The sequence below is a fragment of the Homo sapiens genome, chromosome X, assembly GCF_000001405.40.
Source record: "Homo sapiens chromosome X, GRCh38.p14 Primary Assembly".
NCBI classification, from domain to species: domain Eukaryota; kingdom Metazoa; phylum Chordata; class Mammalia; order Primates; family Hominidae; genus Homo; species Homo sapiens.
The window spans coordinates 21,970,246-21,996,580 of NC_000023.11; the positions used below are offsets into that span (position 1 = coordinate 21,970,246).

Consider the following 26,335-nt stretch of genomic DNA (forward strand, 5'->3'; position numbering starts at 1 on the left):
CCTTTTATTCAGGTTCTCTATTCCCTGCCCCCGGACCCCAGGCACACTTTCCCCCCTCTATTTCTGGTTTTATCCCTAGTAGCACCTTAATCCTTGACACTGCCTTCTAGCATTCTCTGTGTTCATGCTAGAACCACCCAAGTGGATAAAGGGGACCTTACTTCTCTATTGTTCCTTCCCCCTCTCCTCTCTGCTGCTGGTGAAGGAGGGAAAGGAAAGATGATCCTCTCATTCTGGTGTAGAAGAGTTTGTGGACTCTGGGGAAGAACTTGATTTCTGAGGTCACTTAAGGGCTGAAGGTGAAAAATTAACTAGTTTTGTTTTATTTTAAATTTTTTATAGAGACAGGGTCTCACTCTGTCGCCCAGGCTGGAGTGCAGTGGTGCGATCATGGCTCACTTAGGCCTTGACCTCCCGGGCTTAAGGAATCCTCCTGCCTCATCCTCCCAAGTAGCTGGGACTACAGGCGTGTGCCACCATGCTTAGCTTATTATTTTTAGTTTTTTTTTTTTTTTTTTTAATCCAAGCACACTGTCTGTATTCTCTGAACAGAATTGATCTTCTAATTTAGTATTTTTCAAACATTTCTTTACCTATAATTTGTAGTAGGAGGTAATCATAACCCTGGAAATAACACATCTGTGTAAATGCAAAACAAATACATGCATAGGCCGGGCATGGTGGCTCACGCCTGTAGTCTCAACACTTTGGGAGGCCAAGGCAGGTGGATCACCTGAGGTCAGGAGTTCAAGACCCACCTGGCCAACATGGTGAAACCCCGTCTCTACTAAAAATACAAAATTAGCCAGGTGTGGTGGGACACGCCTGTGGTCCCAGCTACTCGGGAGGCTGAGACAGGAGAATCGCTTGAACCCAGGAGGTGGAGGCTGCAGTGAGCCGAGATCATGTCACTGCACTCCAGCCTGGGCAAGACAGAGTGCGACTCCATCTCAGAAAAAAAAAAACCAACATGCATATAACTAAAACAGAAGTTTCATCAAATACATCTTGGTGCATGTGATACACTCAAATATGTTTATTTCATTAAGAAAAAGGGCTGGTCAGAAAATTTTGTGTAAAGGTTGCTGTCACATTTTTAAAAATCTTTAAAAATGTAAACCATTCTTAACTTAGCTTGCAGGCTTTACAAAAACATACTGTGGGATGGATTAGGTTTGCAGGCAGTTGGCCTGGATTTTCCAGAGTGCCTACTAAATTAATTTACCTACCACCAGCCTGCAGTTAGGAAAAAATGGCTCTGGTTTGAACTCTGAATGTTAATGAGAAAAACCAGTTTACCCTTCTCCACACTCCCTTCCTCTTAAGGCAGTAGTTACTAAACCTGGCAAAATTACCTAGAGAACCTTTTTAAAAACCAGATTCACAGAACTGCTACTGAATCACTTTCTGGGCCCAAGAACCAGTTTTGAAAACCTTAATATTTGGTAATGCCCTCTAAACCTTCCACAAATGATTGGTAGTTTCTCCCCGCAAGACGCAGCCCTAGTAAGAAAGCAAAAAGCTTAACTGTATACTTTTGGGGAAATAAAGAGCAGTGGTCTTTTAATTGGGTGACATCTCTCTCTCTCTCTCTTTTTTTTTTAATGCCCCGATACAATTCTTAAGCTTAAAATTATATTTTCCTTTGTAGCTTTGCCAATTTGAGAATTTACCCACATGGATTGGTGTTGCTGGACCTTCAGAGTTATGATGGTGATGCGCAAGGCAAAGAAGAGATCGACAGTGTCGGTTTTTCACTTTCATTTACTCAGTGTTTAAGGATCATAGTATCTGCTTAGCTTAGTGTTAAAATAATGTTCTCTTCATTGCTTACTTTCCAGTTAATTTTAAACTTTCCTCCCTCCACATAAGTGATTTTAGAATAGAAGTAGTTGTTTAGTTGTTTTTAGGAACCTGGGTGTCAGCGTTCCCTTTTAACTGCCTTAGTATGAGTAATCTTATTTTCCACTGGAGGGAATAGAAAACCTTTAACCAGGATTTTATAGCTGCAGTACCCTTTAGCCTTCCTCTTCCGTGTTACTTTGTTGCTAACTTACGCTAAGGTTAGGTCAGCAACATGAAGGGATAGTTGGTATGGGAGAGTGGAATTGGGCCAGGCGTCTACAGGCTGCTAGAGGGTAGGAGGAGGGACAGGTCAATCTTGCACAGCTCTGTCAACATGGCCTCAGTCGTTGGGTCTGTAATTTAGTTCTTCCATGCAGCTTATTCTACAAGCCCATTGATTTTTCTTTTAATTGTAGATTTTGAACAAAGTAGAGGAAAGAATGAAAGAATTGAGTCAGGACAGTACTGGGCGGGTGAAACGGTAAGTCCACTCTTGAATGTCCTTTTATATTTAATCGATTGAAACAATCATAGTTGGCTGGGCGCGGTAGCTCACACCTGTAATCCCAGCAATTTAGGAGGCCGAGGCAGGCGGATCACTTGAAGTCAGGAGTTTGAGACCAGCCTGGCCAATGTGGCAAAACACCGTCTCTACTAAAAATACAAAAATTAGCTGGACGTGGTAGTGCATGCCTGTAATTCCAGCTACTTGAAAGGCTGACGCATGCGAATGGCCTGAACCGAGGAGGCAGGAAGCAGAGGTTGCAGTGAGCTGAGATCATCGCACCGCTGCACTCCTGCCTGGGTGACACAATGAGACTGTCTCAAAAAAAAAAAAAAAAAAAAAAAATTCAGAATGGCAGTGTGGTCCCCAGTAGTGTCTGCTTAAGATGTGGAAAAGATCAAACTCAGCACCTCCTTCTGGCAACATGGTGAACTGAACTACTGGGCCCCTCACACCAAAACAAGACAGTGTATGAACATTCATGTGCATGGATGCACACACACAAATGCTAGGTAAAATGAAACTAAGGCAGAAAGGGGATATGGACCAACTCCAAGGAGTTGGAACTGCCTAAAGTGGAGACCCAGGTAGAGCTGCCACCTCATCAAAGGGAGCTAGAAAACTCCTGACTTCAGTTCGAGACCAGCCTGACCAACATGGGTGAAACCCCGTCTCTACTAAAAATAGAAAAAGTAGCCAGGCGTGGTGGTACGTGCTTGTAATCCCAGCTTCTCAGGAGGCTGAGGCAGGAGAATAGCTTGAACCCGGGAAGCGGAGGTTGCAGTGAGCTGAGATCGCACCACTGCGCTCCATCCTGGGCAACAGAGTGAAACTCGCCTCAAAACAAAACAAAACAAATACCTGACTTCAACCTTTCCAGGAAAGAGAAAAGGTCACTTTTTCTCCTTCAGGCTCTAGGCCCCAGAGTGAAGTTAAGCAATTTTAAGAGACTTCCGACAGGGTGGGGTGATAAGAAAATTTGCCTCAAGGCGTTCAAAGAAGAAAACTTTCCAAGATACTAAGAATTGATAGGCCACCAACTTTAAGCTGCCATAGGCAGGTTATTTTCAAGTGATCATGAGGAAAATGAAGCTCTCCCTATCCAGTGGGATGGGCACTAGCCCCACATGGCTATTTAAAGTTAATTAAAATACACAATTCAGTTCCTTAGTCACAATAGCTAGTGGTTAGTGTCTGCCATGTGGGACAGTACAACTACGGAACATTTTCATCATCCAAATTTCTATCGGACACTGCCGAAGTGTTTGCCAGTGGTGTCAGATTTTAAAAGAATGCAATTCGGACATCGTGGGAAGGAACTAGTGTCTGGTACATCATGGGAATTAAGAAGTGCTTTGGATACACAGCATGCAAATGCAGGACAATTTACTCTTGCCCTGCCTTGGTGGATCCTCATCAGGCCTTAAGGCATAGAAGGCCTGTCCCTTGCTCATAAAATTAACCTCAGTTGCAGAGACCAACACAGAGGGACTTCCTCATTGCTGAGCAACGGAAATACAGGTTTCTCCAGTTCATGGCACTTTCCAGAAGAAGGAATCCTTATTGGCAAGTGTTAGGATGTTTAAGTACTTAATTACTCAGCATGCTAAGTTTGATCAGCCCACAAGAAAGCTCCAGAGCAGATGTAAGATAACTAGGTAATTGTTTAACCTTCTGTAGTTAAAGAGGAAAGCAGGAAACTGAAAGTGAAAAGAAGACGCCACAGTATAGAACTATTTTTTTGAGATCTGTTAGAGCACTCAGGCTCTTTTGGAGCACCCAAGCTCAGTTTAGGGTCCCCAGCCATGTCTCTTACCCTTCACCTTCCTTTAAAAACACATCCACACCCATATACCCATACCACTTTTTGGACATTTCATCTTTTCCTGTTGGCAGGGTTTTCCTTATCTGCACCCATTTGGAATGAACAGGTTCCCCACTGTCAGAAAGGGTCTTAACTTTATGATAATGAATTGGTCCACATCAAAATGTGGTCTGATTTTTATCAGTTGCCTCTAGGAGTGAGTAAACAGCATACATTTATGGGCTTCAGCATTCATGAGAAGTCTGGTTCTTTTCCTTTTTTGGTATAGGAGTTTTCTAAGAGTGGAGTTAAGCTTTAGATCTTCAAAATACCTTGCTTATGCTTGTCACAGTTTTTATTATCTTTTCATGAAATAAGGTTGACGACAGCTAGAAATTGGGTATACCTTGTTGTAAACCCTTTGTTACTGGCCTCAAAAGGACAAGGATTGCTATCCTTTTTTTTTTTTTTTTTTTTAAATCTGGAGAATAAAGATCAGAGGTTAAATGTTAGAGATTAAATCATTAACAAATAACCCAGTAACATTATCTGAAATTATTCCCCTTTGATAAGTTAAGTCTGAATTTTCGACTAAGAAGCTATGGGATGTACTTGAATTTATTTTTGTTTTCTACTTTCAAGTGAAAAAACAAGAAAACAAGGTCACATAAATTAACTTTGATTTTAAAAGGTTCTTGCAATTTACACAGTATACCTAAGGCCTGGGCTATAATCTACCTGAATTGGTGTAGTCCAGTTTCATTTTTCAGCAGTGAAGGTTGAAACGAGTTTGGTAGGGTGCTCTACAGTACCTCCTGGTAGCCCGTTATAGGGCTACCAGCGAGATGCCCTTTAATGCTAGGTTGAGCACTTCATCAGGGTAATGGCATTTACATCCTGTTAAGATCCTTCTTTCTTTGCTAGTCTTTAAAAAAACCATAGAGTTACAATGTAGGAAAGAGCTCTTCACCTTAGCCAAGGCACTATTGACACAATTGAGAACAGGCACTGTTTAGTTTCAGTGGGTTTGCCTGTAGTGCAGTAATTGCCGATAGGTGGCTGGCTGTCAAGGAGAGGGTAGTCTTCCTCCCCTGGAAGTGAGTGACTTTGTCGTTCATCCAATGCCATGGGTGGCTCACTCTCACCTCACTCCCCACCATCAGCCAGGGGTGGAAGAGGCTTCCTCCAAGTCCTGTTCGCCTGCTCTCTAGCAGTTGTCCTGATTGGTGCTTCACATTTTACAATTTACAAGAAAAACCCTCTAGAATGCCTCACATTCTGAAAGCTGAATTTGTTCACATGGAAGGTGAAGAAGTGGTTAAATGAAGAGTTGTCAGGATGACATGAATTTATGGGAGTTTGCCTTTTCAATCTCGGTGTTCTTTATAGATGTTAGTATTCCCTCATAGAAAGCCTTGTTAACTTGTAACAGGTTTAGACTGTACTCTTGGAAGCTGGTGAGCAGGGAAGGGAAAGAGACTCATAAGAGTACGTCAGGCCGCATATCCCAGCATTTTACATGTCTACAGCTGTACATCATGGCGTTTTAATGTTGAACACTACTGTGTTTGAGAACACATGACTCACGCAGTTGTGTTATGTATGCAGTGAGCTCTCGTTTTCTTTGTGTTTGGGTTAGACTTGCCAAGCCCCTTTTCCAGGTCTTTTTTTTCCTGTCATTTAGTGTCCTCTGCTGGTACCTTCTAGTACATTCATCCTGTGAAAAATACCGGGTATTTACAAAAGAATGAATGAAAAAATCATCATTTTGCAGCCTCTGTAGTAGTAACTGGTTCAGGCCAGAATCTTCTGCATGCTAAAACCACTGGTAAAGGTTTGTTGGGGGGTGAGGACTTCTACCTAGTTTCAGAGCACCACCCCACAGCCTGCTTAGTAATTTCAGAGGGTGAAAAAGGTACCTTTGCAAATGGAGAGAGCCCATGAATACCACTTTAACCAAGTGATCACAGACTTAGCATCACCAATAATAGGACAGATACACATCTTGTGTTCCCGATGTGATGCCTGTGTAATATATGTCAACCTGATTCTAACCATGAAGAGTGAGAGATTATCAGGTAAACCCACGAGTCATTTTTCAGCAGAATAGCTGGTCTGTACTTGGAGATATCAGTGTCATGAAACATACCAGTAAAAAAAAAATTATACGTTACATGAGGATAAAAAAGAAAAAAAAAACAGGGAAATGCAGTGTATGAGCCTTTATTCAAGAGCAGAACATCTATAAAGGATATAACTGGGGACACTTGAAGATGGACTCTGTACTAGATAACCATATCATACCCATGTGAACTGGTGTAAATGTGGTAATGTCCATGTAGTTATGTAGATAGTCTTAAGAGACAGATGCTGCTGGAGCATTTGAAATATGAAGTGTGCAGTGGCCATCTTCTCCTTCAGCTTTTTGTTAGAGAAAATCTAAAGCATGACAGGATTTTTTAAAAAGTGAACTGTGTACAATAGTTGTCAACATTTGGTGGTGGCCGTGATTATATAAAACTAAAAGCCCAAGCTTTGGATTCGTTTTGTGCTTGTCAAAAGTCGGCAGTCATGTGGCTTTCTTTTGCACACTCTTCATCCTAGCTCCACTTGTAAGGCAGTGTTCTAGTAAGGTACATTTCTGTTTTTCTCTTTTTCCAGATTACCACCCATAGTGCGAGGAGGAGCCATCGACAGATACTGGCCCACCGCCGACGGGCGCCTGGTTGAATATGACATAGATGAAGTGGTATATGACGAAGATTCACCTTATCAAAATATAAAAATTCTACACTCGAAGCAGTTTGGAAATATTCTCATCCTTAGTGGGGATGTTAGTAAGTATTCCATCCCTGCCCCGATCACGTAACAAAGTGGTGATGTGTTGAATGATGGTGTTTTCCTGACAATTACTACTGTCGTGGATTTGTTTGAGTTTGTTTTTGACACTGCTGGTTTTTGAGATGCACATTTATGTCATATTAACCTGTGGATTGTCTGGGCTTTCACATAAACTTTGTCTTGACATTGCTTCCTTAGTGATGAGTATTTGGATTGTATTTCAAAAGAAAATGCATTTGCATATTTAAAAAAAAAAACCTTTTTGTTACAGAACAATTCAAACCTAAGTAGACAAACTAGTGTGATGAACCCACATGTACTTACCATCGAGTGTGAACAATTACCACCTCCTAGCCAGTCTTATTTTACCTAAACCCCAGTCCACTTTGTCCCTCTCATATTATTTTGAAGCAGCTCACAGACATCATATTATTTCATTTGTAAAGATGTAATTGCTTTTAGTTATTCGGTATATTGACACATTTTTAAGGCTGGATTTTCTTCCCACTGACTAATGTCCATTTGTATTAGGTGTCAGATGATCAGGGTTGATGAAAAAGTCCTCAATGGAAAAAAAGCTTGCAAATTGTTCACAGTTTTAAAAAATTGAAAATGAAAAATTTACATTTTGGTCTAGATCCCAGCTCTTCAGTGTGGTGGGGCCAGGTGGTTTGTGTGTTAAGGTAGACTCACCATTTGGATCTGTTTCTCCTCCCTAGATTTGGCAGAGAGTGATTTGGCATATACCCGGGCCATCATGGGCAGTGGCAAAGAAGATTACACTGGCAAAGATGTACTCATTCTGGGAGGTGGAGACGGAGGCATATTGTGTGAAATAGTCAAACTAAAACCAAAGATGGTCACTATGGTAGAGATATCCTTTGTTGTATAAGAGAACAAGTTCAGTGGGCTTCTTTTGTTTCCTTCCTTCAGTGTCTCACAACTCAAATTAATGTTACCACAGACTAGAGGCAAATGTGTTACCTAGACTGCCTTGAACAGACAATTTAGTAACAGTACCCTTTTATGTGGCCATCAACAAAGAAATAATCAGCTGGGCACAGTGGCTCATGCCTGTAATCCTAGCACTTTGGGAGGCCGAGGCGGGTGGATCACCTGAGGTCAGGAGTTCAAGACCAGCCTGATCGACATGGCGAAACCCTACCTCTACTAAAATTACAAAAATTAGCCAGGCATGGTGGCGGGCACCTGTAATCCCAGCTACTCGGGAGGCTGAGACAGGAGAATTGCTTGAACCCTAGGTGGCAGAGGTTGCAGTAAGCCAAGATTGCGCAACTTCACTCCAGCCTGGGTGACAGTAAGACTCTGTCTCAAAAACAAACAAATAATCTACCTAGTTGAGGATTAAAGAGCAAAGGACTTTGATACTGTGTCTGCTGCCTAGCAGTTTCCAAAATGGCTTCTCTAAAGCCATCTCATGAGGAGAAAAGAAGATTAAGTTCCTTTTGAGTGTCCTTAGTGTGAAAATAAAGTCACTGCCTCATTCATCATTTTGTTAAATTTGTGATACCCAAGTTAGTATTATAAAACCTTTGTTTGTCTTAATCCTTTCTTTAAAGTATTACTATTTCAGAATTCTTTGATATACCCAAATTCTCCTTAACCTGTTGCGGACATTGACCAAATGGTGATTGATGGGTGTAAGAAATACATGCGAAAAACGTGTGGCGATGTCTTAGACAATCTTAAAGGAGACTGCTATCAGGTAATTGTTTTCTGGATAATGTAGTTTTAAGTGAACTAATAATATAAGTTATTGATCAGAATTGTGCCTTATTAAAACAGCTTTTAGTATAGTTGGTTGAGAAGATAAATACATCATCTGTCTCTTCATATGAGTTATATGTATATTTGTATTTAGGGTGCACACGTACCAATGATGGGAAAGCACCAACTCCAGATTCTCTGAATTAAATAAAATTAATTCTTTTTTTTTTTATTATACTTTCAGTTCTACGGTACATGTGCAGAATGTACAGGTTTGTTACATAGGTATACACGTGCCATGGTGGTTTGCTGCACCTATGAACCCATCATCTAGGTTTTAAGCCCTGCATGCGTTAGGTATTTCTCCTAATGCTATCCTTCCCCTAGCCCCCTACCCCCGATCGGCCCCGGTGTGTGATGTTCCCCTCCCTGTGTCCATGTGTTCTCATTGTTCAGCTTACACTTAGGAGTGAGAACATGCGGTGTTTGGTTTTCTGTTCTTGTGTTAGTTTGCTGAGAATGATGGTTTCCAGCTTCATCCATGTCCTTGCAGAGGACATGAACTCATTCTTTTTTATGGCTGCATAGTATTCCATGGCATATATGTGCCACATTTTCTTTATCCAGCCTATCCTTAATGGGCATTTGGGTTGGTTCCAAGTCTTTGCTATTGTGAATAGTGCCGCAATAAATATACGTGTGCATGTGTCTTTATAGTAGAATGACTTATAATCCTTTGTATGTATACCCAGTAATGTGATCGCTGGGTCAAATGGTATTTCTAGTCCTAGATCCTTGAGGAATCGCTACGCTGTCTTCTACAATGGTTGAACTAATTTACACTCCCACCAACAGTATAAAAGTGTTCCTATTTCTCCTCATCCTCTCCAGCATCTGTTGCTTCCTGACTTTTTAATGATGGCCATTCTAACTCCAGCTTGGGCTGCAGAGCGAGAATGTCTCAAAAAAAAAAAAAAATCTTAATAAAAAAAAAAACCTTAATAATAATAATAAAAAAGAAACCTTAGTAGTAAAAATCAAGTAGTACACAAAGCTAAAGATTGCTTTTACATATGTACAAAATTTCCAAGTAAAATAATAAGCTAAATCTGGCAAATTAAGTCTATATTATGCTCAAGTAGGATTTAGTTAGAAGTGTAAAGATTTCAATTTTAAGAAATCTGTCAACTTAATTCGTTAGGTGAATAATTTAAAGGAGGAAAATAACAGATGACAAAGAATTTGAGAATATTTAGCAGTCATTTTAAATAAAAACTAATGCAGTATAGCCATGTAAAATTAGCCAGGTGTGGCGGCGTGTGCCTGTAATTCCAGCTACATGGAAGGCTGAGGCAGGAGAATCGCTTGAACCCGGAAGGTGGAGGTTGCAGTGAGCTGAGATTGCACCACTGCACTCCAGCCTGGGCAACAGAGGGAGACTGTCTCCAAAAAAAAAAAAAAATATATATATATATATATATATATTTCCATCTAACAAATCTGTACATGTACTTCCTGAATCTAAAATAAAAGTTAAATTATAAATTACTTGAATAAAATAAAATTGCAATAGAGATGAAACTACCTGAACGTTAATAGAAACTTAGGTTGTGGTAAATAGAAAAATAGAAAATATAATAGATAGCAAAAGCCATTTCCACTGAAAATAGGAAGAAGATGAGGATGCCTATTATCTTTTTCAACATTATTTTTTGAGGTAGCTGAGATAGTAAAGTAGATGAAAACAGTATAAATCTAATTATTTGTAGATGATGTGAATACTAGAAAATCCAGGAAACTTACGTAGGAAATTATTTGAATTAATGAGAATTTGATAAAGTGATTGGATAAAGCCAGCCTAGATTTTTTCTCTATACTAAATGCTAACTCATTTAAATAGGATTTCCTTCCCACCCATTTCCTTTCAAAGTAATCAAGTGTTAAATTCCTAGGAATATATTTAACAAGAATGGTATTGTGAGACTGGTATGAATTATGTTAAGATGTTATTGAAAGACATCAAAGTCTGAATATGTGGAGAGGCATGCTGTATTTCTTGTATTGAAAGAACAGGCCGGGCTTGGTGGCTCACCTGTAATCCCAGCACTTTGGGAGGCCGAGGTGGGTGGATCACTTGAAGTCAGGAGTTGGAGAACAGCCTGGTCAACATGGTGAAATCCTGTCTCTACTAAAAATACAAAAATTAGCCCGACGTGGTGGTGGGTGCTTATAATCCAGCTACTCTGGAGGCTGAGGCAGGAGAATTGCTTGAACCCGGGAGGTGGAGGTTGCAGTGAGCCAAGATTGCACCACTGCACTCCAGCCTGGGTGGCAGAGCAAGACTCCGTCTCAAAAAAAAAAAGGAACAATGTCTATTCTTCCCAATTTATTATGAGTAATCCCAAGGAGGGGGGAGGGGTTTAAAAGTAGACCAACTGATTTTGAAGTTGATTTGTAAAAATAAGTATCTAAGAATACCCAAGAAAACTTGAAAAAAGAATCATAGTGTGAAGCGAAATATGTCCTATTTGTTGTTAATGTACTATAAGGCACGATAATCAAATAGGAAGTATGAAAGGAATACACAAGGACCTAGGAATGTCAAAGGAACTTGAACAGGTCTGAGTATGTATTCCTACACACTGCTAATATGGTCTAAGATACATTTCAGTTGACTTGGGAAAAGCGTTAGTTGAGTTAGTGTGTGATGCCGGTATAAGAAGTTATCCATCTGCATGAGAACCAAGTTAGCTAACAATAGAAATAGGAATTTTGGTGACTTAGGCTCTAAATGTAAAAACTAATACATTTAAGACAATTTAGAGTACTTAACCTTGGAGTTCAGAAATCTCTTAAAGATAGGACACTCAAACTGTTAATGGTATTATAATGTTGTCATTACCAAGCCAAAAGTCAGACTAGAAGAAAGACTAGTAACAAGCATGACAGGGAATTGATCCCTTGAATAATGCAGAGTCCCTACAACTTAGAAATGAAGTTAGCTAAATTTAAAAAGGTATAGAGGATATTTACTGGTACTTCTCAGAATAAGTCAAATAACCTGTAAAAAGTACCACAAGACAGGCCGGGCGCGGTGGCTCACACCTGTAATCCCAGCACTTTGGGAGGCTGAGGTGGGCGGATCACGAGGTCAGGAGATCGAGACCATCCTGGCTAACATAGTGAAACCCCGTCTCCACTAAAAAAATACAAAAAAAAATTAGCTGGGCGTGGTGGCGGGCACCTGTAGTCTCAGCTACTCGGGAGGCTGAGGCAGGAGAATGGCGTGAACCCGGGAGGCAGAGCTTGCAGTGAGCCCAGATCGCATCACTGCACTCCAGCCTGGGCGACAGAGCAAGACTTGTCTCAAAAAAAAAAAAAAAAAAAAGTACCACAAGACGGTCAACCCTGTTGGTGGCCCAGGAAGTTCTTGTGAAAACATTAGCAACAGACTTCACAAAATTTAGTAGAGGGGCAATATCTCATGCTGGGGAGGTTGTGGGGAGACAGGTGCTCATATGCATTGCTGGTTGGCGTGTGAATTGCTATCAAAACCGGAACACACGGCTTCTAGCCGGTGTTTGAGCACACAGCCCACAGTTAAAAAGGTGTCACTACAAGGTTTTATTATAGCTGTGCTTGTAGTGACCAAGGCTTGGCAATGACAACAGAAAGAATGTTTTTAGTGGAATGGTGTATTTTTTAAAATGTGTGTTATTACCTGGAGAGATGTTGGGTGAAATGTTCAAGTTCCAAATGATGTGTGGGATTCAAATTTTACAAAAGAGAACATACATTTGTGTTTGTGTGCAAGTATTCGTAAGAATCTGTGTGAACGTATGGAAAAAATATGAGCATATCAAACAGGATTAATACATGGATTGAAAGCAACGGTGGTGTTAGTACCTCCTATATTTTTCCATAGTTGGACTTGTATGATGCATTGAGGCAAGTTATAAAACAATAGGACAGAAAAGTCCCAGTTTCTTAAAATTATAACTGTGAGGCTATAAGAAGAATGATGAGAAATAACATGGGATAGGTTATCTTAGGGAATTGTGGTGAACTTTTTTTAATTTTTTTTGAGTCAAGGTCTTGCTCTGTCACTCAGGCTGGAGCACAGTGGTGCGCGATGATCATGGCTCACTACAGCCTCAAACTCCCGGGCTCAAGCGATCCTCCCACCTCAACTTCCTGAGTAGCCGGGACTACAGGCAGATACCACTAGGCCCAGCTGATTTTTCTTTTTTTTCTAGAGACGGGCTTTCACCATGTCGCCCAGGCTGCTCTAGTACTCCTGGGCTCCATTGTTCCGCCCACCTCAACTTCCCAAAGTACTGGGATTACAGGTGTTGGGCCACTGACCCCAGCCTGGCAAACTCTTAAACTCTTGGTTTCTGACTATTATATTTAATTTTTCTTTTACTTAATGTATTTTTTTTTTGAATTAGAAAACTAAAAGATGACAGTAACTCCTGTTTAGTTCAGGATGTTGCTTAGATCCAGATGTGTCCCCAGCATAGAGCCTCAGTACTTCAAAGATACAGCCAACCTCAAACTTCTTTTCTGTGTTAACTATATATGATCTGTATGGGAATTCCAGCTGGTCTCTTTATTGACTCTGATGGTGGGAGCTGTTATATATAGCTTTATTAGCAGTAGCCCAAGCGTTAGAGAAAATTGAGAAATAACATGTTAATAGTTTGAGTAAGGTGCAAAAGTGAATCCATAAACAATGAAGTCATTCAGTGCTTAGTATAAAAGAAAAATTAGGCTGGGTACGGTGGCTCATGCCTCTAATCCCAGCACTATGAGAGTCTGAGGTGGGCAGATTGCTTGAGCCCAGGAGTTCAAGACCAGCCTGGGCAACGTAGTGAGACCCTGTCTCTAGAAAAACTTTTTAAAAATAGTTTATTAATTAAAAAAATAAAAATTAAAAGAAGATGATACAGATAGTGATAGGAGAGGCAGTATAGATTAGAGATGAAAGTATGAAGTTGGCTTTCAGATAGTAATAGGTATACTTCGTGGATCTATGGGCAAGCTGGATAACACCTCAAGTTTGTTTCTGCATTGGTAAAATGGGATGATAATAGTGCCTCTAGGATTGTTGTTTTATTGAAATGAGAAGGCATATAAAGCATATATGGTAAGCACTTAATTTTTGCTGTTAACAGACATAGATGAAAGTTTTTTGGTTCCTGTAGCAGTTGCTGTGGATAGCTGTGGATATAAGCCCATACTTGGCGCTTTTTTCCTCCTTCCTTTACTATTGTTTTTTGTTTAACTACATCCACATGTTGGCTCACTCATCTATTCCTGTTCTTTCTGGAAGGTTCTAATAGAAGACTGTATCCCGGTACTGAAGAGGTACGCCAAAGAAGGGAGAGAATTTGATTATGTGATTAATGATTTGACAGCTGTTCCAATCTCCACGTCTCCAGAAGAAGGTAGATTTTTTTAACCAAGATATTTATGATGGAAATGTTTCTCTTGGCACCATGTGAGGGTGAAAGGATCCTAGAGATTGTGTAGTTCTCTCACGTTTTTGAAAAAGGGAGTTAAATTGAGGTCCATGGTGGAAAGATGACTGGATTTGGCTTCAATTCCTGTTCTGCCACTCAATGAGTGAACTAATTCAGTCATTTGAAACAAAAATGAAGTAAAATGACTCATTACATTAATGAGACAGTAAATCATTTGACAATTTATTTAAATTATGTGATTTTCAACCTGTATTGGTACAAACTGGTCACTTATCTAAGCAACGACATAGATAATTCCCTTTCTCAAACCAGATGTTTGTTCCAAATCACAGCTAGTTCGTGTTTTTTTCTATAAACTCAAGTTCCTGCTGAGTTTGCAGGCTCTGAATTTCTCTCAGGATTTTGCTGCTTGCCCCCTTATTTAAAGCAGTTTTCTTTCACGTTTCAGCCACTGCCTTTGTGTCAAATCTATTGGTATTTTGAGAGCGAGCAGTGCTAGGTGGATGTGATTTTGGCATCCAAAATCAATTTCATTATCGTTCATGAACAAGCTCTTTGAATAGTGGGTCTTACACTCGTGGCTCTTTTTCTTTTTCCTCTTTTGGTATTGAGTATTCGAATATTTTACTTCAGATGTTGTGGATACATACAAACCCATATTTATGAAACTTGTTCTTTTAAACATTCAGATTCCACATGGGAGTTTCTCAGACTGATTCTTGACCTCTCAATGAAAGTGTTGAAACAGGATGGGAAATATTTTACACAGGTAGGCTACTTAACAGTTTTTTCCCTCAAAACGCTCTAAGACTTTCCTGTTTTGAAATCTGAATGCACATTTTTGAAATGTATATCTATTAAGGATAGAGCGGCATCATCGGATTATGTTCTTTCAAACAGTAAGCTTCTACGTTGACCTGTTGTCTGTTGGGAATTAATGAGTTATCAGCCCTGGTCTTTCGCTGTAGTATGAGCTGCTGCCACCAGATGGAGACACAGACTGATTTTCTTTTTTCCCCTCCCCTCATCAACATACACTTGATGACAAAGCTCTGGCTGTACTGTGAACTCCTGCCACCAGATGGAAGCAGATTGTGGTGTTTTTCTCATTCTCTAGGGGATTCTAAACTTAAACTTTAAAGATTACATTAATTGGGGTTAAAAATATACATATATATCTCCTATTGAAATCCTTAACAAAATTTTGAAAATGACAGCAAAGACAGCTAATTGATAATCCAGTCTCTTGGTACAAAATTCCTTGATGCATAAACATAAGATAAGCACTTATGTAGCATTGCACTCTGGATCTCTGAATTATTCTGAGTTTACAGGAAAATCCCCTCCGCCATTTTTTAAAAAAAGTACTGCCAGCCTGGACAACATAGTAAGACTCCATTTCTACAAAAAGTTTAAAAAATTAGCTGGGTATGGTGGTGCATGCCTGTAGTCCTAACTCTGGAGGCTGAGGTGGGAGGATTGTTTGAGCCTGGGAGGTTGAAGCTGTAGTGAGCTGTGATCGTGCCACTGCCCTCCAGCCTGGGTGACAGAGTGAGACCTTGACTCAAAAATAAACACAGTATTAGTATACTGTATTTAAAAGTCAGGAAGAGGCCAGGTGTGGTGGCTTACGCCTGTAATCCTAGCACTTTGGGAGGCCGAGGCAGTTGGATTATCTGAGGTCAGGAGTTCGAGACCAGCCTGGCCAACATGGTGAAATCCCGTCTCTACTAAAAATACAAAAATTAGCCAGGCATGGTGGCAGCAGCCTGTAATCCCAGCTACTCAGGAGGCTGAGGCAGGAAATTGCTTGAACCTGGGAGGCAGAGGTTGCAGTGAGCCGAGATTGCACCACTGTACTCCAGCCTGGGCCATAGAGCAAGACTACATCTCAAAAAAAAAAAAAAAAAAAAAAAAAAAAGTCAGGAACAGGTAGAGGTTTTCACTTTAACCTTCTGAGGAGGTGTCTGCCAGCAGACCCTATCCTGGACATTTTATGGAATCTGAGATTACTAATGCTGAAAACAACTTAGCATTTCTGAGAGACATCTTGATTCAGGCTCCAGCCTATCCTGTTGTTCCCCTCTTCCCTCTGCGTGCAAGACCTGCAAGCACATTGTGCTTAATCTTGGACTTTGCGCTTGGCAAAATTGTTCAGAGGCTTTGAGGACAGCAAAGCACTATCAATGAATGGAGTGTCTCTGCCCCCCACAACATTTAGAAATGATTTTTACAGACATGCTGTAGATGGATATAACTATTTAAAGCAGGAGTCTGCAAACATTGGGCCAAATCTGGCCTCCTGCTTGCATGTTTGTAAAGTTTTCTTGGCATGCAGACACGCCCATTTATTACATAGTGTCTGTGGCTGCTTTTGTACTGAGTAGTTGTGGTAGATACTGTATGATCTGCACAGCCTAAAATATTTTCTATCAGACCCTTTACAGAGAAAGTTTGCTGATCCCTGTCTTATAGGAAACCAGTGAAACCTGCTCAAATGAAGCTTTCTTATTGTAAAGAAGCAAGTTGGACTTATGATGGTTTTTTTTTTTTTTTTTGAGATGGAGTTGCGCTCTTGTTTCCCAGGCTGGAGTGCAATGGCGCGATCTCAGCTCACCGCAACCTCCACCTCCTGGGTTCAAGCGATTCTCCTGCCTCAGCCTCCTGAGTAGCTGGGATTATAGGCATGTGCCACCACGCCCGGCTGATTTTTTGTATTTTTAGTAGAGATGGAGTTTCTCTATGTTGGTCAGGCTGGTCTCGAACTCCCAACCTCAGGTGATACGCCCCCCTCGGCCTCCCAAAGTGCTGGGATTACAGGCGCGAGCCACTGCGCCCAGCCATGATGGGTACTTTTTAAGCAGAGCATATGGAAATTTTTTCTTTTCATTTTTTTGAGGTAAGTTCTTGGTCTGTAGCTTAGGCTGGAGTGCAGTGGCACAGTGGCACTCATTGCAGCCTCAACCTCCCAGACTGAAGTGATCATCCTGCTTTGCCCTCCCAAAGTGCTGGGATTTCAGGCATCCATTGCCATGCCTGGCTAATTTTTGTAGAGATGAGGTCTCACTATGTTGCCCAGGTTGGCCTTAAACTCCTAGATTCGAGTAATCCTCCTCCATCAGCCTCCTGAAGTGTTGAGATTACTGCCATGAGTGACCGTGCCCAGGCAGAATTTTTTCTTTTAGGTTTCTGCAAATACATAAAAGGAAATCTCAAGCAGCTTAAATTAATCAAGGAAAAATGTGAGGCTCTGGGATCTTGAACAAAAAGAGACTGAAAAAAATTTGGATCCACTACAAACTAGTCAGTCTGTAGTACAAAAGGCAGGACAAAAGAAGACAGCCACACTAAGTCCACCTGTTGTCTACTACAGCCGAGTGGCTGTTCTTCTTTTGTTCTGAATATTGGCATGGCAGGCTGCCTCCTATGGAGAGCTGTTATCTTAGTATGAAAGGCTAATAGAATACTTGCTTAGAATACTACCACAGCCCATTTGTGAATATTAATGACCCAGGCTTTGATATCTTGCCTTTGCCAATAGACTTTTTACCAAAATCAAAAGGATTGTATGCCCAGGGCTGTCTTGGTTTCTAAGAATTGTCCAAAAGACATATGACATGTTTTCTGTCCCCATGTTCATTACAGTTGGAACCACAAAACAGTCTCATTATGTAACACCTGGGGTTCATTCAGTACATTTGGTGATTGACACTGTCACATGGTAAGATTTATGTGGACCGGCATGTATAGCCCTTTCAAGAAGTAGTAATTAAGTCAAAAAGCAAGTGATTTGACTCAGGATGTGTTGATGTAGTTGCCACAGTGCAGTTTTTTTTTAACTGCCAGGTGACACGCTTAGGAGGTAACCCAGATTCTTGGCATGCCCACCCGCTTTGCCCAAGTGTGCAGCTTAGAACTGGAGTCAGGTTGGCCGGGTGCGGTGGCTCACGCCTGTAATCCCAGCACTTTGGGAGGCCGAGGCAGGAGGATCACGAGATCAGGAGATAAAGATCATCCTGGCTAACGTGGTGAAACCCCGTCTCTACTAAAAATACAAAAAATTAGCCGGGCGCGGTGGCAGACGCCTGTAGTCCCAGCTACTCGGGAGGCTGAGGCAGGAGAATGGCGTGAACCCAGGAGGCGGAGCTTGCAGTGAGCCGAGATCACGCCACTGCAGTCCAGCCTGGGCAAGAGGGAGACTCTGTCTCAAAAAAAAAAAAAAAAAAAAAAAAAAAAAAGGAGTCAGGTTAAGGGTGGGATGAAAATGTTGTGTTTTACAAAAGCTAAATGTTCCCACCCAAAACTGCTAGCTGTGAGTTCGTGATGTCATTGGTTTTACTGTGGCTGCCTGAAGGCAGCCTTGTCAGCATCCCAGGAAGCTGGGGAATGCATCGTGGAGGGACGTGGGAATCAAAGTGGGCCAATAGAATTTGAATTGGGGAGGAAGTGTTTTCATGGAACCTAGGAGGCGGATCCTGGGACTTGACCTTCCTCTCTTGTCTCCCCACAGCCCCATTTAAAAAAAACTGTAAGTTATATTTCTCTCTCCTTTCTGCTTGCCTTCTAGAAGCAACCCATCTTTGGTCTCACTTTTTTCCATTTCTGCATTTTATAGATGGTTCTTACATGTATGATTTCCTAAATCATTATACTATTTAATTTTACTTGCTTTTGAACTGGATAAAAGTTGCTAAGGATGTATTCTTCTGTACCTGTTACTGAGGTGTCATGTGCCTGTAATCCTAACTACTCAGGAGGATTGCTTGAGCCCAGGAGTTCGAGGACAGCCTGGGCAACATAGTGAAGACCCCACCTCTAAAATAAACAAAAGCAAATGTCACCTGTCCACACCTAACATGGGGAAAAGAACTTTCTAGAACTGAAGCTATCGAATTTGGATTTAATCCCATAGTGAAGCCTCAAAGGGGTAAAGAAACCAATGACTAATAAAATCTGGACTTTGCAGGATTACGGGTAAAAAAAGAAACAGCTTGCTGAAACACTGAAACTCCCTCCACTTAAGAGAGAAAATCATTGGCTAAAATCTGTTAAAACCAATATGGCCAATTAGAATTTGCATAGAACAAGCTTGCTGATGTCACAGCCTAAGTTTCCACCACTTGCTTCATGCTAACCACTTCCCCGCCCTCAAGTTTGCACACAAGACCCATTAGTGGGCATAAAGAAATAACTATACACGCCTGAGGATTTTCCAGATCTACCCTTTGCTTTCCATCCACGAATCAATCACCTGCACATCTCAGAACCTACCCTTTAAACTTTTTTTTGTTGTTGTTGTTGAGACAGAGATGGAGTCTCACTCTGTGGCCCAGGCTAGAGTACAGTGGCTTGATCACTGCTCACTGCAACCTTTGCCTCCCGGGTTCAAGCACCTCTCCTGCCTCAGCCTTCCGAGTAGCTGGGATTACAGGTGTGAGCCACCACACCTGGCTAATTTTTGTATTTTTAGAAGAGATGGGATTTCACCATGTTGGCCATGCTGCTCTCGAACTCCTGACCTGAAGTGATCTGCCTGCCTCTGCCTCCAAAGTGTTAGCATTATAGATGTGAGCCGCCACACCTGGCCCCTTAAACCTTTTCTAATAAAAGGACTGCCCGTAAGCCCAACACAGGGAGACATATTTAAGCTGGACTCCTGTCTCCTTGTTAGTTGACTTACAATAAAAAGCTTTTCTTAGGCCAGGCACGGTGGCTTATGCCTGTAATCCCAGCATTTGGGGAGGCTAAGGCGGGAGGATTGCTTGAGGCCAGGAGTTTGAGGCTGCACTGAGCTATGTTCACAGCGCTGTACTTCAGCCTGGGCAACACAGCAAGACCCTGTCTCTGAAAAGAAATTAAAATAAGCTTTGCTTTTCTTAAAACCCCAGTGTCCTAATATTGACTTCAAGCACATTGGGCAGTGAGCCCCTTTTTCTTCGATAGTGCCAGGTGTGACCCCACCCCTTGTTCCATCCCTTCTTCTTATCCTTAATGAGTGCTTAATTCTTTGCTATTAGATTTTTATTCTGCATCTCCCATTTGTTTCTCTTAAAAAGAAAAAATGTCATTCCATTTAAATAGACAGGAAAGTGAAATGTATCATGTTACTTTTTTGGGGTAGGTGTCTATTTGTGGTGTGTGTTTTCTTCTTTGAAACTTCTTGACAATGTTGGGAAAGAACAAATTGAAACTTTCCTATTTTCTTACCACAGTCTGTGTAAGGAAGTCTTCCCATATAACCTCTATAAAGAGAGAGTGTGGTGTCAATTTTAAGATGGCAAAGCCATTTACTGTGCACCTTGGTGGCATTTTCATTCTATAGCTTCCCCAGTGGTGATGTGTTCTAAAAACAACTGGGCAGTTTTCTATTTGTGAATCTTAAATTACACGTGTGGTGTTTATATGCTCTTACGGTGAACTTGATGTTGAAACCAAATTACATGCTGGCGAAGGGCACTTTGGCCATGGCCATATCCCACTGCAGGACCCTAGATGATGGGTTACTAAACAGGCTGACACTGAAGGATGACGTCACGTTGAGTGAATGTGCTAAGTTAAAACCACCAAGGCCAGCTCTCAGAATAGTTCTAACCTCTTGCCCGTGACTAGCTGGCTGGTTGGTTTTGAAAGCCATTCTCAGGAGTTCTTACATCACAGGCTGCCTTTATTTGTAAATAATTTTCATCTTGCATTATACTTGGCTATTTTGAGGCAAATTAATAGTAACTTTTTTTTTTTCTGAATTGGAGTTTCGCTCTTGTTGCCCCGGCTGGAGTGCAGTGGCGCCATCTCGGCTCACTGCAACCTCCACCTCCTGGGTTCAAGCGGTTCTTCTGCCTCAGCCTCCCGAGTAGCTGGGGTTACAGGCGCATGCCACCACGCCTGGCTAACTTTTGTATTTTTTAGTAGAGACAGGGTTTCACCATGTTGGCCAGGCCGGTCTCAAACTCATGACCTCAGGTGATCCACCTGCCTCAGCCTCCCAAAGTTCTGGGATTACAGGCCTGAGCTAGCATGCCCAGCGAACAGTAATTTTCTTAAGAAACGGAATCAGCCACCTGGATTCAGTAGTCTTGTGAATACCAACTTCAGAGATTAAAAGGAAATAGGCGGTATTAAATACCACTTTCGTTTTCTAAATTCATAATGAAAAGCATTTGGGGAAAATTGTGCTAAGAGGATGATAAATGCTTCCCTAGACTTAATCCAAATCTACATTTTAACAAGATCCCCTATGATATCATATGTACATTAAGGTGTAAGAAGCATTGCTCTAGAGTTAGGCAAATACTGTATCCATTCAGCAGCTCTGCTATACCTTGGCTGGCATCTCTTGATTATCTTCACCTTTTTTTTCCTTGTGGTCACAGGATGGCTGCTGCAGCTCCAAATATCACATCTAGGTCATAGCTTAGAAGAAAGTTGAAGAGGCCGGTGGCTCTTTCTTTGTTCAGAATCAAAAGCTTTTCCAGCAGCTACCAGCAGACTTCCAGTATATCTCATTGACTACCCCTAGCTGCTGGAGATGCTGAAAATGGGGTGACTGGGAAGGGAGAAATGTTAGAATAATGAAGTTAAGAGAAAGTTTTTGATAAGGTGTGCAACTAGGGGATATCCCTATCGTATATATCCTGAATAAACTTTTGTTCTCTTATACACAGATTCTAGGAAAAAAATGGGGGTGAATATAGTTCTGTGTCAACATTTTAGACTCTTAGGAGAATTGTAGTTTAAACCATTGTGGAAATCAGGAACACTATATTTTTGATACTTCATTTGTAATATAATGGTGACCGTTATTGAGAAAATTTCCTTTGAATGAGTTATTTGTATGAATCTTTGCAAATTGCATGGTTTTAATTCAGTGAGTGTCACTAATAAGAAATTGGTTTCACTGCTTTCTATCATTTCATATTCTAATAATTTGAAATGGCTTGGTAAATGAGGTAGAAGGATAACGAGCTCTAATGGGTCTATAAATAGAATGCAGTGTGATTTGTGAAAATACAGAAGCCTTATCTTGTTTTTAAAGATGAACTTTTATCTAAAGCTAGAATTGTTCTCCTTTATTAAAGACCTTCAGATGAGTGGGGCCCTTGGAAGGACTCAAGAATCCCATTTGCTTATCTCTCTTTGATTTAGGGGAACTGTGTCAATCTGACAGAAGCACTGTCGCTCTATGAAGAACAGCTGGGGCGCCTGTATTGTCCTGTGGAATTTTCAAAGGAGATCGTCTGTGTCCCTTCATACTTGGAATTGTATCCTTTGACCGTGACATTCTGTTGCCAGATCAAAGCACCCAAGTAAATCATATGCCAATGAAAAAATTTAAATCACAATAATAAACAATTAGCTTAGCCATAGAGTATATAAAGCCCTGGTTCTCCAGCTTAGGTGCACATTGGAATCCCCTGAGAAGCTTTAAATAAAATCTGAGATTCTAGACTTCCATTCTCAAAAGTTTTGGGGTCTGGCTTGCCACAGCTTTCCAGGTGCTTTTAATGATCAAGCACTACTGGTCTAAAGCATTGGTTCTCAAAGGTGTTGCCAGACCTGCAGCATCGCTCAAGAACTAGTTAGACATGGACATTCTCAAGCCCCACCCCAACCTGCTGCCCAATCAGAGGAATTCTGGAGGTGGGGGCCCAGTGACCTGTTCTACCAGCCCTCCCAGGGATTTATGTGCACCTGAAAAGTTTGAGAAGCCCTAGTCTAAAATAACCACCCTACCTGTGGCAGGTAAAATGTCTAAAGACACTCATTCTACTCTTACATTAAAATAACCTGACATTAATACTAGTTTCTACACTTGATGCTAATTTGCAACAGAAATCGAGAACTAGAATGATGTTGGGGACTGCACGGTTAACATTGGTGTTCTCTGTTAGTTCCGCTTAGTAAAGTTAGTCTAGAGAAGTAAAACACAGAAAGAAAAAAGGAAATGAGCATTATCATTGGAAATTTGTGCCGCAACACAGCTGTGGGCTGTAGTCTGCAGATGACGGCTTCCTTATCTGCTGTTGCCAAGTCCAGGTTCCTGTGACGGCAGGGTTTTTTTGCTGTCAAGGGAGCAACTGCTGCTGACCTCCAGTGAGGCCTGGTCCCATCAGGCTGGGGCAGAGCCCGACGGGGCAAACTGCCTGCTGAGACCAGATGGCCAGCAAGAGGCAATGAGAACCCTCTAGATCCTCCATGTGAGGAGGGGAGTACTCCGCCTGCTGGGTGGCCGTGTCCCTCCACAGCCTGTACAGAGCTTCAGCATCTCCTACCAACTGTCCACCTTTGTTTAGGGTTCCCCTCAGCATTTTTGTCAGGCCTGTGTTTGCATGTTGGGAGATTTGAGAAATCAGTTGATAACATTTGAGGCAAAGTCTTCCACCTGCTAGTTCTTCTCTCTCCCTCCTTCCTTCCCTCTCCTTTCCTCCTCTGACCTTTTTTCCCTCTCCTCCTCCTTCCCTCTCCTCCTCCTGCCCTCTCTTCCCTCCCCCTTCTCTCCCTTGTATCTCCCGCTACCCTAACTTTCCCTCCCTCCCTCCTTTCCCCCTTCCTTCCTTTCCTTCTCATACTAATTCCCTAAAACTTGTGAGACTTTGGAAGCAGTAGTGTTACCTGAGAGAATATTTGTGTTCCTTTAGCCTTCTGTTGTCTACTCAGTACCTCCTTCAGACCTCCCAGGTGGTGAGGATGTCCCCAGGCTGCAGAGTGGCCTTATTCAAAGTCCTTCGTTCTCATTCCCACAGTGCTCTAAGCCATGAAGCTTTTCATCCATCTTTCAATTTGTAGGCCAGCAAACGAATTACAAGTGATGTCTTTTCTTCCTTGAATTACCTGCTTTTATTCCTTGACTCCCTGTCCAGGTGGGTATTTTACACTGTTTGGAAGAAAGCTAAACCCTGAAGATCAGTAGCCCCTAATCACATGTGCTGCAAATAGCCTTCCTGACCTCCATATGCTGTACATGACATCAAAATGAGTCAGGCAATTGATTGTGAATTCCTTAAAGTTTTCCTTTTTTTAATAATTATTTTTAATTTAAAAAAGCAAATGGAAAATGTATATTTTGATGAGCTTAGGGTGTTTTTTTTTTGAAAGTCAGCTGAAGGATGGTTAGACAGCACAGCGAAGACTGCTAAATGCACTGACCCCCCCCATTAGAATGTGATTTTTGTTCCTTTTTATTTCTCTGTGGGCTTTTGTTTTTGTTTTTGTTTTGGTAGATCTTCAATTTGGATATTTGGAGGAGTGAACATCGTTGTTTTGCTGGAGGGAAGATCTTGATGGTGTTTCTTTCCCCAAAAATTGACTTAGATATTAAAATTTGGTGCTTATAAGAGAGAGTTAAAAAAAAATAGGATTGCTTCAATTAAAATTACAAAAGAGACATTTTGTGTGTTCTGTCGTTTTATTTCAGCCCAGTCCCCTCTTTCTGACTTGTGATCTCATAGAGCAACAGTATCTCCTGGTCTGTTTTTAGTTCTGTCACTCGATGTCATTTATCTCTTTATAATAGGATGGCCCCGGGGCCTTTTTTGAACAGTAGTAATGACTTCATTTGCCACCGTGCTAAATGATACACAACCTATTACATTCACCAGTCCTTCATTATACCATTGACCTGAGGCTAGCAAGAGATTTTGTCTGACTGTAAAGTTGAAAGTCAAAAGCTTATTTCTGGTCCCACTCTTAGCAGTGTATTAGATGTGGAAATAAAAGTCATTTTGGGTAGCTGCTATGAAACTTTCTGAGCAGATTCTTGGCTGCACCGATGTATGACAGAATTTATGGAGAGGCCTATGGCAATATGAGCAACTTGAAAACTCCTAAGGAAGTGCAGGTAGCTAACAGCTTGGTGTGGTGTGTGTGGGTAACAATCCACATCAAAAGTGAGCTTTACATTGACTTGGATTGTTAGACATCAGTGGGTTATTCTGTTGTTTTTATAAAAGGTTTATACTGTATCAATGGAATGAGTCATTTATGATGAATTTGCAATAAGCAAAGCATTAAAAATGAAATATTCAGTGTCCATTTTGAGGTAGAATTGGTGTCAACACAGAACGTTCTTCCTCTCAAGGTGTAGGAATCAATAGTATGGTATTTAAAAAAAAAAAAAAAAATTTTTTTTTTGAGACAGCGTCTTGGTCTGTCACCCAGGCTGGAGCGTAGTGGCCTGACATTTTTTTTCTTAAATGAGTGAATGTCTACTTTTTCTTTTTCTTTCTTTCTTTTTTTTTTTTTTTTTTTTTTTTTTGAGACAGTCTTGCTCTGTCGCCCAGGCTGGAGCATAGTGGTACAATCTCTGCTCACTGCAACCTCTGCCTCCCAGGTTCAAGCAATTCTCCTGCCTCAGGCTCCCGGGTGGCTGGGATTACAGGCGCCGGCCACCATACCCAGCTAATTTTTGTATTTTTTAGTAGAGACGGGGTTTTGCCATATTGGCCAAGCTGGTCTTGAACTCCTGACCTCAGGCGATTGGCCCACGTCAGCCTCCCAAAGTGCTAGGATTACAGGTGTGAGCCACCACACCCGGCCGCCTACTTTTTCTTTGTATTAGATTGTCATGGAAGAAGATGAAGAAGAAAGGAGTTAGTCATGTTGTAATTAGATAGACTTAACTTAAATTTTTCTTGTGCACATAGGTTAAAAATAGCATTAGTAGACATTCTCCCCATCCCCTCCAACTCTACTATAGTGCTTTGCAAAGCTCTGTGTACTGTGTAAGATATAAAATGATGGTACTGTTACTGTAGAACACTGTTTGGGAGTCAATAGAATTGGATTTTTTTCTACTTTATAAAAGAAACCAGGTATATGTACCTGCTGTCTGGATATCGTGTTTTTAATAACTGGGCATGACTTTGTACTTGAAGACTAGCTTGAGGCTGGGGCAGCAGATCCACTGATAAATCTGTTGACACAAGTCCTGCAAAGACCTGAGAGGTGGAAATGAGTGGATCAGGTTGTGCCAGGCCATGGGAGATAGATTCAGGAGACAGTAAGGGATGTGGAATAGGAAAGAAAGGAATGGAAATATCTGTCTTTTCATTTAGGGTGATAATAGTGAATTTTGACCCAACTCACTTCTTTGTGTTGGAGAAAGGATGATGTATGTTTTGAACATCTTTG

General features: G+C 41.3%; 1 protein-coding gene across 4 annotated transcripts in view, besides 1 other annotated feature; it reads left to right on the forward strand.

Annotated features, from left to right (window-relative positions):
- SMS (spermine synthase) overlaps positions 1 to 24,592 on the forward strand; it is a 54,129-nt gene extending 29,537 nt beyond the window's left edge. For 3 of the 4 annotated variants that reach the window (NM_004595.5, XM_011545568.3, XM_005274582.3), the window contains exons 3-11: positions 1,652 to 1,745; positions 2,262 to 2,326; positions 6,816 to 6,991; positions 7,715 to 7,869; positions 8,632 to 8,721; positions 14,059 to 14,173; positions 14,899 to 14,978; positions 22,352 to 22,467; positions 24,067 to 24,592. In NM_004595.5, the coding sequence (NP_004586.2) occupies positions 1,652 to 1,745; positions 2,262 to 2,326; positions 6,816 to 6,991; positions 7,715 to 7,869; positions 8,632 to 8,721; positions 14,059 to 14,173; positions 14,899 to 14,978; positions 22,352 to 22,467; positions 24,067 to 24,106 (931 nt within the window). In that variant the 3' untranslated portion in view covers positions 24,107 to 24,592. The remainder of the gene's footprint in view (positions 1 to 1,651; positions 1,746 to 2,261; positions 2,327 to 6,815; positions 6,992 to 7,714; positions 7,870 to 8,631; positions 8,722 to 14,058; positions 14,174 to 14,898; positions 14,979 to 22,351; positions 22,468 to 24,066) is intronic. The other variant, NM_001258423.2, reaches the window with a different exon arrangement.
- Positions 23,009 to 23,058: an enhancer, noted in NCBI's record as "active region_29487". NCBI's record gives its function as "activates an Ori minimal core promoter by ATAC-STARR-seq in GM12878 lymphoblastoid cells {active_cell/tissue: GM12878}" and the evidence as "EXISTENCE:reporter gene assay evidence [ECO:0000049][PMID:35858748]".